This window comes from Homo sapiens, chromosome 17 (genome assembly GCF_000001405.40).
Source record: "Homo sapiens chromosome 17, GRCh38.p14 Primary Assembly".
NCBI classification, from domain to species: domain Eukaryota; kingdom Metazoa; phylum Chordata; class Mammalia; order Primates; family Hominidae; genus Homo; species Homo sapiens.
The window spans coordinates 80,177,357-80,191,571 of NC_000017.11; the positions used below are offsets into that span (position 1 = coordinate 80,177,357).

Below are 14,215 nucleotides of genomic sequence, written 5' to 3' on the forward strand. Positions count from 1 at the left end.
GCTGCGACTACAGGTGTGCACCACAACACCTGGCTAATTAAAAAAAAAATTTTTTTAGGCCAGGTGCAGTGGTTCATGCCTGTAATCCCAGCACTTTGGGAGGCCGAGGCAGGCGGATCACTTGAGGTCAGGAGATCGAGACCAGCCTGGCCAACATGGTGAAACCTTGTCTCTACTAAAAATAAAGAATTAGCTGGGCATGGTGGCATGCACCTGTGATCCCAGATACTCAGAAGGCTGAGGCAGGAGAATTGCTTGAACCCGGGAGACAAAGGTTGCAGTGAGCCAAGATTGTGCCATTGCACTGCAGCCTGGGAGACGAGCAAGACTCTGTCTCAAAAAAAAAAAATTTTTTTTTAGCAGATTTTAGCAGAGACAAGGTCTCACTGTGTTGCCCAGGCTGGTCTCAAACTCCTGAGCTCAAGCAATCTGCCCGCCTTGGCCTTTCAAAGTGTGGGATTACAGGCATGAGCCACCACACCCAGCCCTTCTCCTCTTGTTATAAGGGCACCCATCCCTGGACTAGGGCCCACCCTAATGACCTCAACTTGATTACGTTGGCAGAGACTTATTCCCAAATGAGGTCCTACTTACAGGTACTGGGGGTCAAGACTTCAGCATTCTTTTGCGGGGGGCCACAATCAGTGACACCCTGACTCGCAAGCCTCAATCACCTGTTCCAGTGAGAAACAGGACTGAGATCAGAAGGAATGAGGCAGAGCTGCCCTCGATTGGTTCTCCTCTCCTCCTCACCTGCCCACCCCGGCCTCTGCGCCCGTCACTGTCCTCTCCAGCTGTTCTTCCTTCCGGGCAAGGAGACTCAGCAGAAGGGTATGAGTGGCCTGGCCCTGTGGGGAGCCGCAGACAGGCCTGTGGGTGCTTTGGATAACTACTGCGCCTGTCAACTCTCCTTGGTAGTCTAGGGTTCAAAGCCCAGGTCCATTCTAGAAGTCTGCTTCCAAGTGCTAAGGAAGCTTCAATAGTTACTGGGAAAACCACAGGGGTCAAAGGTCCGTCGAGTTATTTCCCGGATCCGAGTCTGACGTCTTTTCCCCGCCGCTTGCGGTGGTTGTGACCGAACCTTGAGTTTTGGAACAGGTCACATGGCTTTGAAATCACGGTCAATTCACCTGGTGCTGCTTTGACTTCAGGCTCTTCCTTCTGCCCAGCTCCGTCCCACCCAGCAGCCCGCAGAGAAAGGAGGCAGCTGGCACCACACTGGGCTTTGGAGACACTGCGGGGACTGTGGACCCCACCCTGCTGCACGGAGCTCCTGCAAAAGCAAACCTGAGAACCTTGGTGAGTACTTCCGGAGACCCGGCTCCTGGGACGGCTTCTGGCGCTGCTCCTGCACACACGACTCTCCAACGATCATTTTCCATGTTTTATTTTTATCTTTTAATTTTTGAGATGGAGTCTCACTCTGTCACCCAGGCTGGAGTGCAATGATGCAATCTCAGCTTACTGCAACCTCTGCCTCCCAGGTTCAAGTGATTGTCCTGCCTCAGCTTCTCAAGTAGCTGGGACTACAGGCACCCGTCACCATGACTGGCTAATTTTTGTATTTTCAATAGAGACGGGTTTCCACCATGTTGGTCAGGCTAGTCTCAAACTCCTGACCTCAGGTGATCTGCCCGCCTTGGCCTCCCAAAGTGCTGGGATTACAGGCATGAGCCACTGGCCCCGGCCCATTTTCCATTTTTCAGATGACAGGTGTTGATTTGCTCTGATTTTCAAGTATTTTTAGCATACAGATCCCTGCAAGAGGCATCTGTCTCCAGTGGTCCAGCCTCTCCTTCCAAATGAAAAGAATCAAGTCACAGGAATTCATGGGTCTGTAAGGAATCGCTCCCATCTGTGCCCAGGAGATTAACAAAGGCGGTGGCTGCAGCTCTGTGAGCAGTGGAGAAAAATTAGGCACAACCTGATATCCTCCCACAGGAGCGTAAGTCCACTGTGGTTATTCATATCATTGAATCCAGTGCACAGTTTAAAGGACCATGCATGTATCAAGCTGCATGTATCAGTATGAGAAACCTCAGAAGCCGTACAGCCTTGCACAGAACGATAGTTTCTGTGAAGTTCCAGCTAACACTGAAGGCACTGTTGATGTAAAGCTGCTGTCTGCACGAAGTATCATGCAAAGATGCTATGTACTGTTTATACACACTTCCATTTGTAGGAAATGATTTTTAAAATATCATTTTTAGGCTGGACTGTAATCCCAGCACTTTCAGAGGCTGAGGTAGACAGATCACCTGAGCCCAGAAGTTCGAGACCAGCCTGAGCAACATACGGAGATTCCATCTCTACAAAAATTAAAAAAGAAGCCAGGCATGGTGGCGCATGCCTGCGGTCTCAGCTACTTGAGAGGCTGAGGTGGGAGGATTGCTTGGGTCTGGGAGCTCAAGGCTGCAGTGAGCCACGATCACGCTACTGCGTTCCAGCCTGGGCAACAGAGTGAGACCCTACCTCAAAAAAAATCATTTTTAAATGATTTTAGAATGTCTGGCCAGAGAGGGAGGGAAGAGGGACTGAAGAGAACAAAAAGGCGCCATCTGCCTCGCATTTCCTTAAAAAGAAACCTGAAGTGCAGAATGTCAAGATGGTTGAATCCGCATGGTAGATATGTGGATATTTGTTATTTGCAGGATTTTTTAATATGCTGAAAACAGTGCACAGTTTTAAAACATTTTAAAATTATTTAGATGGATTAATGGGCTAATGGCCTCATGTTGATGCCAGAGAGGGGCTCAGGCAGGGGCACAGTGGGGTACACAGCTCATCTCTCGCTGGGATGGGAGGCTGGGCAGGTGACGGCTGAGGACCTCCAACAGCTCTTAGAGTCTGCACTAGCCAGCATGTCCCCTGAAGAGCAGGTGTTCCGGGCTGTAACGGCGACCTGCTTCGTGTATTCTGTCCAGACAGACCTGGGCTTGGGACATCAGCCCTGGTGGTGGCCCCAGATCAGCTGCAGCTCAGCCCTTTCGGGGACCTGTCCACCCTCTGTCTGCCTCGCCATCTTTGTAAGCCCACACCCCCCGCAGCCGAGCCGTGCTGGCCGTTACTACCCTGAAGTGTCTTCTGCGAGGCACTTGTGCCCAGTGTCACTCCCCAGCACATTTCCCTCATGTGGAGTCCTCTGCGCAGTCCTCTGTGTCACTGTCCTGGGCCGCTGCAAACAAGGGACCACCTGCTGCGTAGTTGAAAACAATGGGAACTTTTTTTTTTGTTTTTTTAGACAGAGTCTTGCTCTGTTGCCCAGGCTGGAGTGCAGTGGCACGATCTCGGCTCTAGAGAAGCCGACAGTCTTGCTTCTAATGAAAATTACCTTTCATAAAGAACTTATAAAGCAGCATTTCCAAAGTGCAGCACCCCTACTGTTATTTGTTTGTTTGTTTGTTTGTTTGTGTGTTTGTTTACCGGGACAGGGTCTCCCTCTGTCACCCAGGCTGGAGTGCAGTGGCACAATCTCAGCTCACCACAACCTCTGTATCCCAGGCTCAAGTGATCCTCCTGCCTCAGCCTCCTAAGTAGCTGGGATTGCAGGTGCATACCACCATGCCTGACTAATTTTTGTATTTTTAGTAGAGACAGGGTTTCACCATATTTGCCAGGCTGGTCTCGAACTCTTAGGCTTGAGCAATCCTTCCCCCTTCGCCTCTCAAAGTGCTGGGATTATAGGCGTGAGCCAATACGCCTAGCCTACTACCATTATTTTAGATGAATTTCTAAAAAAAAAAAAAAGTATTTATTTACTTTAATTTTTTAGAAAAAGCTGTAACTGACACAACAAAGTGTGATTTAGTGACTTTATTGCTTAGGATTGGGGTAGAGCAGGTGGGGCCGTGGCACTCAACCTTACACAGAGGGAGAAACCAGAATGGCAAATGGCCACTGGAATGCTTCCTCTGCCGTAAACATCTCAAGACTGTGGGTTCTGACTGGCAAAGAGTGCGCCTTGCTAATTTTACGATGGAGTTGATTTTAAAACGGTGTCACCCTGGCTATCCTGGGGTCCTGCTTACCTGACAACTCCACCCCCATGGCCACCCCTCCTAGGGTCCTCCCAGCGCCCAGCCATGGGGGAACTGTGCCGCAGGGACTCCGCACTCACGGCACTGGACGAGGAGACACTGTGGGAGATGATGGAGAGCCACCGCCACAGGATCGTACGCTGCATCTGCCCCAGCCGCCTCACCCCCTACCTGCGCCAGGCCAAGGTGCTGTGCCAGCTGGACGAGGAGGAGGTGCTGCACAGCCCCCGGCTCACCAACAGCGCCATGCGGGCCGGTGAGCGCAGCTCCCTCTTCCCCACCTCTTCCAGCTTCCCGTGGCCCACATGGCTCCACTGTCTGCCTCTGTCTTCAGGGGGTCTCTTCTCGTCCTGTCTCTTATAAAAACACTTGCTGTTGCCTTTAGGGCCCACCTGGATAACCAGGATGATCTGATCTTGAAATCATTAACTTATATCTGCAAAGGCCCTTTTCCCAAAAAAGGTCATCTGGACAGGTTCCAGGTGGATGTGTCTTTGAAGGGGAACCACCATTCACACCACTACAGCTGTCTTTGGAGTCCATTCTGATGGTCTGACTAGTGTTTATTCATTAAAAAATGGGGATGGTAATGGCTTTACTGTATACGGTTGTTAGGAGAAGCAAATGAGTTACTGTTTATAAAACACTCACTGCAAAGCTGGGGCCATAGAAAACAGGCAGTAGGTGGTAGCTGTCAACATGATAATGTTCATGCATGTTGGCGTACGAACCCCAAACACAGGAGAGATTGATGCACGCTGGTCATTCTGGCTGAGAGAGATGGGCTCTGGGCCCTGGGCGTGGAAGGCCCCGAGGCTCTCTGGGACCTGTCACCCGCAGCCCCGGGGTGCCACTCTGCTTTCTGTGCGCAGCTCCAAAGCTGACAGCACCGTGGTGGGACCCTGCGTCTGCATCACCCACCAGCTTGCCAGGGAGGTGCTTGCAAGCAGGGACCCACCTCCTCACCCCGTCCCGGTCCCCCCGCACTCGCCAGAGCACTGGGGTTGCAGTAGTTGCTCGATACATGCCAGCTTTGCCCTTCTCGAGTCTGACTGAGGTCATGGGGGTAAAGGGAGCCTGTGAGAGCAGTGAGGGCGCGTCCCACCCAGCAGAACCCAGAAAACCGCTTTCACCTCCCGATTCTTACATGTGCGGGGGGTTTCCCAGCCCCAGGCCTCTCCCCCGTGGGGAAGCCAGCCAGGGAGCCCAGCCCCCTTGGTAGCTGGGTTCTGCCCAGACAGACGGTTCTGCCTCCCAAGGGCACTTGCTGGATTTGCTGAAGACTCGAGGGAAGAACGGGGCCATCGCCTTCCTGGAGAGCCTGAAGTTCCACAACCCTGACGTCTACACCCTGGTCACCGGGCTGCAGCCTGATGTTGACTTCAGTAACTTTAGCGGTGAGAGCTCCGACTTTGACGGTTTGGCAGGCACTTCTAGGAACCTCAGGCTCCTGGTAACCCCAGGTGCCCCGCTTACTTGCCGATTTGCCCTACTCCCCCTTCCCTCCAGGCTGCAGTTCCTGTCCCAGCCCCAGCACTCTGAGGGTGAGGAACCCCCTCACTGTATTGGGGTTGGATAGGATAAGGAGCCCCTGGGCCTTGACTCTGAAGGGTCGGTCCTTAGTTACCCAGTGCCAAAAGGAGACCCCTGAGCGGTAGGGTGGGGAGAATCTGCTTGGAGAGACACAAGCAAAGGGCAAGGGAGTGTCTCCTGGAGTCCGCCTTTAACCTTGCGGCTTTGCTGGAGGGGCCAGAACGGCCCAGCCTCAGCTCTTAGGAGGCGACAGAGCGGCCCCGGCCAGAGGGTACAGGGCCTTGGCAGGGCCGCGGAGCCTTCTGTGCACTGCTCACCATTTTCCTTCAGGGAGTAATTCTAGGCTTCCCTGGAGGAGCTGTTGAAAGATTTAGGTATTGAAAGGAGCAGGAGCAGGACTCACACGACCCAAAACAGTGGAGAATAGACCATTTTCCCTGTGTTCCAGCACGGTGTGTGTTTATGTTCTTTAGAGTTCTAGTACGCGGATTCGTATTCTTTTTTTATCTTTTTCTCAGGATAACGTTAAAATGAGTTAGCACTGAGTGCATTTCAGCTACCGAGGAGGGTCATTAAGTCTGAACAGTGGGGTCTCACGGGGAAGGTCAGAGTGGGTAACCCTCGTGCCAAAATCGGGAGTCACGCTGTTTATTCAACCAAAAGACCAAGTCTGCTTGAGGTCCAGGAGCTTTTAAGGAGACCAGCAGGTTAAAGCTGGGGGCCTGCTGGGGAGTCTGGGCAAGGCTGTGGGGGCATGGGAGTCATGCCTCGGCCCACCGGCCCATCTGTGCACCTGCACACCTGCCCACATGCCCACCCGCCCACATGCTCAGCTGCCCACATGCTCACCCGCCCACATGCTCACCCGCCCACATGCTCACCTGCCCACATGCTCACCTGCCCACCTGCTCACCTGCTCACCTACCCACCTGCCCACCTATTACCTCCCTACCTGCTCACTTGCTCACCTGCCCATCTGCCCACAGGTCTCATGGAGACATCCAAGCTGACCGAGTGCCTGGCTGGGGCCATCGGCAGCCTGCAGGAGGAGCTGAACCAGGAAAAGGGGCAGAAGGAGGTGCTGCTGCGGCGGTGCCAGCAGCTGCAGGAGCACCTGGGCCTGGCCGAGACCCGTGCCGAGGGCCTGCACCAGCTGGAGGCTGACCACAGCCGCATGAAGCGTGAGGTTAGCGCACACTTCCATGAGGTGCTGAGGCTGAAGGACGAGATGCTCAGCCTCTCGCTGCACTATAGCAATGCGCTGCAGGAGAAGGAGCTGGCCGCCTCACGCTGCCGCAGCCTGCAGGAGGAGGTAGGGGGACACCCTGCACCCCGGCGCGACCCTGCTGTCGTCTGCCCCCAGGCCTTTGTACTAGCTGGTCCATCTCCCTGGAACTCCTTTCCCCTCTTCCTTGTCTAACACTTCCCTGCCCCGAGAGCCTTGGCTGAGACCCCTCTGGGAAGCTGATCCTTCCCCTCCCCAGGAGGCCACCCAGGCCCCTCTGTGTAGCCTGCATGGCGACGAGGTGTGCCTTGTCCAGTAGCTGCCCGTGGCCTGGCTGGCTTGTCTGTGAACTGCCCATCCTGCTGACGCCTGGGCAGGTCTGGACACACTCTGGGCTGCATATTTGTAGGGCCGCCTACGTCCCACTGCCCAGCTGCGGCAGTGACATGGGATAGTCGGCCTCTGTCATCCTCCTTTGTCCTTCTCAGCTGGTCCTGGACTCAGGCGGGATAGTTGGTCTCTGTCGTCCTCCTTTGTCCTTCTCAGCTGGTCCTGGACTCAGGCGGGATAGTTGGTCTCTGTCGTCCTCCTTTGTCCTTCTCAGCTGGTCCTGGACTCAGGCGGGATAGTTGGTCTCTGTCGTCCTCCTTTGTCCTTCTCAGCTGGTCCTGGACTCAGGCGGGATAGTTGGTCTCTGTCGTCCTCCTTTGTCCTTCTCAGCTGGTCCTGGACTCAGGCGGGGAGGGCAGGAGGGTTCTCAAGTGAGGCCTCTGAAACTCAGTGTGTTTCACTCACTTTTCTTTGGGGAGGATGATCTGACTGATTGGTAAGGCTTCTCAAAATACTGAGGATGTGCACTCCTTGTCATTTTGGCATTTGCTTTTTACCTTTATTATTATTACTATTATTTTTAATTTTTTAGAGGCACTATCTCGCTCTGTCACCAAGGCTGGAGTGCAGTGGTACAATCCTAGCTCACTACAGCCTTAAACTCCTGAGCTCAAGTGATCCCCAGCCTCCCGAGTAGCTGGGACTACAGATTGTACCACCATACCCAGCTAATTAAAAAAAAATTTTTTTTGAAATGGGGGGTTCTCATTATGTTGCCCAGGCTGGTCTCGGACTCTTGGGCTCAAGCGATCCTCCCACCTCGGCCTCCAAAGTGCTGGGATTACAGGTGTGAGCCCCTGCGCTGGCCAGCGCTTTGCCTTTAATCATGACATTTGTTGTTTGTTTTTAATTTTTTACTTCTTATTTAGAAATAATTCCAAATATATATTTTTAAATCACACAAATAAAAATAGTACAAATAATACCCACCTACCCTTGCTTTATCATTTGTACTTTTACTCTCTCGTGGCCCTTTATGTCTACTTCCTGAAAATCAGCACCTGCCCCTATATAGCCACAGTGCAGTTCTCAACTTCAGTCTTTTTGGTATGGACGCCCTGTTTTTATCCAATCCGCCTGTGTTCTGGTTTTCTCATCTGTCCCAGTGACTCCTTCACAGCCTTTCCCCCAGCCCAGGGTCGGGCCCTGTGTTCTGCTGTTCCTCTCTTTAGCCACCTTCATTTGGGAACAGCCCACAGCCTTTCTTTGTCTATTATGAGGTGGCCCTCTTTAAAGCCCCCACCCCTTCCCTTTGATGATAGACGACCTCTCATTTGGGGTTTGTCTTGTGTTTCCCACATGTATACAGAAATTATGTTCTTTGGCCGGGACCCTGCACAGGGGGTGCTGGCCTGACTCAGGGCATCTCCTCGAGGGCTCTCGAGGTCCTGTCGCCCCTCACAGGGGACGTCACACCGTCCACCATTTGTCAAGGTGCAGGCCAATTGCTCTACTGCAGAATGGCTCTTTCTTTTCTTCCCTGCAACTGATAAATATCTCGGGTGTGGGGCGCTGAGACCAGCAAGCACCCTGCTCCTGGTGGACATTTCCCAGGATGTAGCTGTGGTGACTCTGGCGGGAGCTGGCCCCTACCCTGGGAGCTGTGAATGACGACCGTGCCAGTGCTCCACCTTGCTGCTGCCCACGGCCTCTGCCTTCCCTTCTCCCTTGGCTGACTTTGGACCAGGCCAGCCCACTTTGCTGCTGCCCACGGCCTCTGCCTTCCCTTCTCCCGTGGCTGACTCTGTTCTTGGCGCAGTTCATGGGTTCCTACTCTGCAGGGGTCTGACCTCTCACTGTCCTTAATGATTTTGGTCTCAAATGGACCCAGATGTGACCAATGGAACCCTTCAACCAGCTCCGTGTCCTAAAACGGGTCCCTTGTTTTTGGAGAACCAACTGCTTTTCTGGCCTCACAAGATATTCCAGGGTCATCTTGTACCCGGCCTACCCCAAATCCAGGCTCAGCCCATTCTCTGAGGGCCCCACTTCCTTTTTTTATTTTTATTTTTTGGTTTGTTTTTTTGAGACAGAGTCTCACTCGCTTCCCAAGCTGGAGTGCAGTGGCGCCATCTCAGCCCACTGCAATCTCCATCTCCCGGGTTCAAGCAATTCTCCTGCCTCAGCCTCCCGAGCAGCTGGGATTATAGGCGCGCACCACCACACCTGGCTAATTTTTCGTATTTTTAGTAGAGACGGGGTTTTGCCATGTTGGCCAGGCTGGTCTCAAACTCCTGACCTCAGGTGATCCGCCCACCTCGGTCTCCCAAAGTGCTGGGATTACAGGCATGAGCCACCACGCCCGGCCTCCTGCCTCCTTTTAGAGAACAAGATGTGGGCGTAGGTGTGTCCATCACTACTAGGGTGTCTTTGCTTCTCAGCCCTTTCAGGGGACAGAGCTAGGAAACACACACACATGTATGGACATATACATACACATATGCACACACATACTTGTCTGTGTACACACACATACTCATATGCATGGAAGTATACATATAGTTCACGTGCATACTTCAGAAATCATGGGTTCTCACCCATACCTCTAATTCCAACCCATGCCCTGCGGCTTTTTCTTGCCTTCTCCTGTTCCGTACGTGTGTGCTCCTTCCCCAGGGGGAACGCTGCTCCCAGCGTCACCAGCACCTTCAGACCCGTGCTCAGTCCTGCAGCACATCTCAAATCGTTTCAGAATCACTCTGCCCATACCACTGCCATTAACAGCCCCGCTAAGACGGGTGCCGGACTTGTTTGTAATTCACCTCCCCCCGCCAGCCAATCTTGCTCAAGGCTGAGGGTTTGTAATCAAACACTGTGTTTGTGAGTCACTGTATCTTCGTTCTCTCTGTCCTTGTCTGTCTGTCTCTCTCTTCGTTGTGGTTATGGCGTCTGTTGGAAATAGAATTCGGTTCATTTGTTCTGGTTCACTTTCAGTCTCATGTTTTCCGGTTCCCTTCCAGCTCTGACTTGATTTTACTTTTTGAATCTGTGGACGGTGACATGCCCAGCCCAGCTGGACCATTGCAGGAGCTGGGAACTTGCGAATTGACAATGTGCTAACCGGGTGTCGGGAGGGGAGAGTCCAGGTGGAAAGGTCCTTCTTGGCCACAGCCCAGGGGTGAGCACCGGCACCCACCCCGACGTGCAGACTTCCCGGGCTTGCCTCACGGGGAAAGTCCTGCCTCCCCAGGGCTGCCACACCCAGGACGGGAAGAGGGCGGGCCCGTGGCTCGAGCTCCAAGTTTCTCTTGGGCTGCTGTCCAGAGGAAGGAGGCCAGCAGGACCTGGTGGGATAGTCCCTGGAAGGCCAGGGCCCTGCACACAGACTGCAAGTCAACACAGGAGCTTTGCTGTCTGAACAGCCCCGGTCCCGCGTTCCCAGGCACGTCTACCCCTCCGACCTGACTTTCCTCTCTCTTACTTCTTACTGATTTCCATGACTCCAAATTCCCTTTCTTGATGTATTTAGCAGAACATGGACAAGCAGGGAAGCCAGGGAGCATGCTGGCCATCACTGCCGGCTGCTCAGCTGTAGAGATCCAGGAGTTGGTTATCAAGGCCTCTTGGTCTATTCCTGGGACCCTAACCCTGGATGGAGTTCAACCGCGGTGCCTCATCTATAAGACAGAGCTGAAAGGCCTCTGTCCTCCCAGCCCCAGTTGAATATTTGGGACTATTCATTAGGTGAACCCTTTCGTGGGTTTTTCAGTCTCGAGGCAGGAAGCCCCCTGAGTGCTAAAAGCATCATTAGGAGGAAGGGTGAGAAATGCCCCCAGCTCCTGATCAGGGGAGAAGCTGTTTCCATCGCCCTTCCTGTCGCCTCCCCACCGCACAGCTGTATCTACTGAAGCAGGAGCTGCAGCGAGCCAACATGGTTTCCTCCTGTGAGCTGGAATTGCAAGAGCAGTCCCTGAGGACAGCCAGCGACCAGGAGTCCGGGGATGAGGAGCTGAACCGCCTGAAGGAGGAGAATGAGAAACTGCGCTCGCTGACTTTCAGCCTGGTAGGTTCCGGTCCCCGCAGCAGAGAGCGGCCTCCTGCCTTGGGGGCTTGGCCCTCAGGCTGTGGGGTTTCTGACAGGTGGTTTAGTTAAGGTGAGGCTAAGAACAAGAGATGAAATTTAGTGACTCATCTCACCCACTTTCTCTTTACCTCCTTCCTTCCTGCTGTTCCCCAGACCCCAAAATTGGCAGAATTAAAAGCTGCTGGAACAGAATTAAAAGCTGGAACTGGGCACAGTGGCTCATTCCTGTAATCCCAGCACTTGGGAGGCCAAGATGGGCAAGATAGCTTGAGCTCAGGAGTTCAAGACCAGCCTGGGCAACATGGCGAGACCCCATCTCTACAAAAAATACAAAAAGTAGCCGGGCATGGTGGTGCACACCTGTGGTCCCAGCTATTCGGGAGGCTGAGGTGGGAGGATCGCTTGACCCTGGGAGTTTCAGGCTGCAGGGAGCTGAGATCACGCCACTGCACTCCAGCCTGGCGACAGAGGGAGACCCTGTCTCAAACAAACAAAAATAAAAGCCGCTGGAGGTGCATCACAATGCCCGACTTGGTGGGTTTACTGCAGCGACTGTGTTCTGGAGTGGACTTGGCCAATTGTAAAGCATGGGATTCGCGTTAAGGATGGGGGAAAGAAACCTTTCTGCCTGGAAAGACTCCGCCCTCTGGGCCTCAGGTGCACTGGAGAGAGGGGGGCTCTGAAGTGGAGCAGTGAGTGAGCAACGACCCTTGGCGTCTCCTCCTCGGCCCCTCTCAGTAGATTGGTATTTATTGAGATATTCCTTCCATAAGCATTCACTGGGCCCAGGGCACTGGCCATCTTGCAGCCCGGATTGTGTCTCTGTTTATAAGCTCCTTCCTGGGAAGTGAGTGTCAGAGGGGAATGACCTGTCTGCTGGTTTCTCCCTCGCTGTGAAACTGCCGGTAGATCTGTTGAAGGAGAAGGCTGACCTGGTAAAGGGAGGAACTGGTGTCCTCAGAGGTTGCCAGCTTCCTGTGTTCCTTCTCCTTGGCCATGAATCTGCACTTTTCCCAGGCATGATGGGTGGCTTTTCCGTGGCTTCTCTCCTGCCCGGTGTAGAGTGGCAAGACTGCATCCGTCCACACACCTGACCGTGCAGTTGCCGCCATCTTCTCGGGATTCTGCTTGCCTAGGGCAGGCCTCTGGGGAAGCCAGCACCCCAGGCTGACCTCTCTCTGCCCCAGGCGGAGAAGGACATTCTGGAGCAGAGCCTGGACGAGGCGCGGGGGAGCCGACAGGAGCTGGTGGAGCGCATCCACTCGCTGCGGGAGCGGGCCGTGGCTGCCGAGAGGCAGCGAGAGCAGGTGCCGTGTGAGCCCTTCCTCCCTTGTGACTCTCCTGGGGCTTGTCTCAGGGGTGCGGACAGGTCTGTGGGGAAGCCAGATTCCTTCATCCACGCCGAGCTCACATAATTTTGCTGAACGAATCTGTCGGCCTGTTCATCTGTCCCTTTGTCAGCGCCACCCTAAGCACCGACTCGCACCCCACAGCTAAGACCATGGTCAGGCAGATGCGTGATTCAAACGCAGGGGATTTCAGGGCCCAGGCCCCGGGGAGAGCCAGGGACTTAGGTGAGGAGGGAACGGGGAGGAAAGGAGACGGTAGAAGAGAAGAGGACAGGGAGGGAAAATTGTTTTTCTGGGACATTAAAAACGCAAAACACAACTATGCATGCAACATCCCCTCATTGTTTTAATTCAGACGTAATCAGCCTAAGCAACTTTCTAGATGCACCTCGAAATCTAGCACTTAAGAGACGAGCGAGGCCGGGCGCGGTGGCCCACGCATGTAGTCAGCACTTTGGAAGGCCGAGGCAGGCGGATCACTTGAGGTCAGGAGTTCCAGACCAGCCTGGCCAATATAGTGAAACCCTGTCTCTACTAAAAATACAAAAATTAGCTGGGCCTGGTGGTGTGTGCCTGTAATCCCAGCTACTAGGGAGACTGAGGCACGAGAATCGCTTGAACCCGGGAAGCAGAGGTTGCAGCGAGCCGAGATTGCGCCATTGCACTCCAGCCTTGGCATCGCAGCGAGTCTCTGTCTCAAAAAAAAAAAAAAAAAGAGAGAGAGAGACGAGTGAGAATTGACCTTATTTCATCCCTAGAACTGTCTCCCTCCCTCCACCCCTGGGTTCCCCGACCCCCTTCTAAGGCCAGACCCTCAGAGCTGCTGAGCTTCACGGTCCATGTGTCCCACTCTGTCCAGTACTGGGAAGAGAAGGAACAGACCCTGCTGCAGTTCCAGAAGAGTAAGATGGCCTGCCAACTCTACAGGGAGAAGGTGAATGCGCTGCAGGCCCAGGTGTGCGAGCTGCAGAAGGAGCGAGACCAGGTACCTGAGAGGCCGGGCCCACCCCGCCACCCCATGCTTGCTTCCCCAGGTGAGGGCTGGTTCCGGGGACAGTCTCGTGGCTCCCTGCCCTTGATGGCAGCTGGTCCCAGATTTCAGGGTCTCTTTCCTCGGTCCACACGAAGTTTCTTCACTCCTCCAGGCCTGTTGTCCACATGCTGTCTCTATCATCCTTCTTGCTCTTATTCCTGGTACATGACACTGAGAAAGTACACCCCAAATACTGGGTTTTATCAACACTGCACATGTGAACACGAATTGAAATGAATCTTAAGTTTGCACAGCTCAGCGTGGGCCATTTAGTGGATGTCAGATGAGCGCAGGCTAGAAACAGGGCTCTCCTTCTCTAGCTGAGGCTCCCCGGTGGTGATGGCGCGGCCTCCTTACTCCCGTCGTGGCCCACAGGCGTACTCCGCGAGGGACAGTGCTCAGAGGGAGATTTCCCAGAGCCTGGTGGAGAAGGACTCCCTCCGCAGGCAGGTGTTCGAGCTGACGGACCAGGTCTGCGAGCTGCGCACACAGCTTCGCCAGCTGCAGGCAGAGCCTCCGGGTGTGGTGAGTGTTCCCGGCTGACCCGAGCTGGAGGCCAGGCAGGGGCTGCGGTGACAGTGGGACAGAGCTGGGCTCCAGGGTGGCCCATGGAGGCACTGGGAG

General features: G+C 54.0%; 1 protein-coding gene across 19 annotated transcripts in view, besides 4 other annotated features; it reads left to right on the top strand.

Moving 5' to 3' along the window:
- CARD14 (caspase recruitment domain family member 14) overlaps nucleotides 1–14,215 on the top strand; it is a 39,302-nt gene that overhangs the window by 7,327 nt on the left and 17,760 nt on the right. For 7 of the 19 annotated variants that reach the window (XM_047436713.1, NM_001366385.1, XM_011525213.2 and 4 more), the window contains 9 exons: nucleotides 1,152–1,299; nucleotides 1,748–1,945; nucleotides 4,063–4,293; nucleotides 5,297–5,434; nucleotides 6,557–6,882; nucleotides 11,021–11,188; nucleotides 12,397–12,516; nucleotides 13,418–13,543; nucleotides 13,967–14,116. In XM_047436713.1, the coding sequence (XP_047292669.1) occupies nucleotides 4,083–4,293; nucleotides 5,297–5,434; nucleotides 6,557–6,882; nucleotides 11,021–11,188; nucleotides 12,397–12,516; nucleotides 13,418–13,543; nucleotides 13,967–14,116 (1,239 nt within the window). In that variant the 5' untranslated portion in view covers nucleotides 1,152–1,299; nucleotides 1,748–1,945; nucleotides 4,063–4,082. Of the gene's footprint in view, nucleotides 1–1,151; nucleotides 1,300–1,738; nucleotides 1,946–4,062; nucleotides 4,294–5,296; nucleotides 5,435–6,556; nucleotides 6,883–10,443; nucleotides 10,568–11,020; nucleotides 11,189–12,396; nucleotides 12,517–13,417; nucleotides 13,544–13,966; nucleotides 14,117–14,215 lie in introns of those variants that run through there. The other 12 variants (XM_047436719.1, XM_011525216.2, XM_047436715.1 and 9 more) reach the window with 6 other exon arrangements.
- Nucleotides 575–1,075: an enhancer, noted in NCBI's record as "H3K4me1 hESC enhancer chr17:78151730-78152230 (GRCh37/hg19 assembly coordinates)". NCBI's record gives its function as "activates a minimal SCP1, AML or CMV promoter by ChIP-STARR-seq in naive H9 embryonic stem cells {active_cell/tissue: H9 hESC(naive)}" and the evidence as "EXISTENCE:reporter gene assay evidence [ECO:0000049][PMID:30033119]".
- Nucleotides 575–1,948: a biological region, named in NCBI's record as "BRD4-independent group 4 enhancer GRCh37_chr17:78151904-78153103".
- Nucleotides 749–1,948: an enhancer, noted in NCBI's record as "BRD4-independent group 4 enhancer chr17:78151904-78153103 (GRCh37/hg19 assembly coordinates)". NCBI's record gives its function as "activates an origin of replication core promoter dependent on BRD2, P300/CBP, MED14 and CDK7 cofactors, and independent of BRD4, by STARR-seq in HCT116 cells {active_cell/tissue: HCT116}" and the evidence as "EXISTENCE:reporter gene assay evidence [ECO:0000049][PMID:35650434]".
- Nucleotides 11,910–12,426: an enhancer, noted in NCBI's record as "H3K27ac-H3K4me1 hESC enhancer chr17:78163065-78163581 (GRCh37/hg19 assembly coordinates)". NCBI's record gives its function as "activates a minimal SCP1, AML or CMV promoter by ChIP-STARR-seq in primed H9 embryonic stem cells {active_cell/tissue: H9 hESC(primed)}" and the evidence as "EXISTENCE:reporter gene assay evidence [ECO:0000049][PMID:30033119]".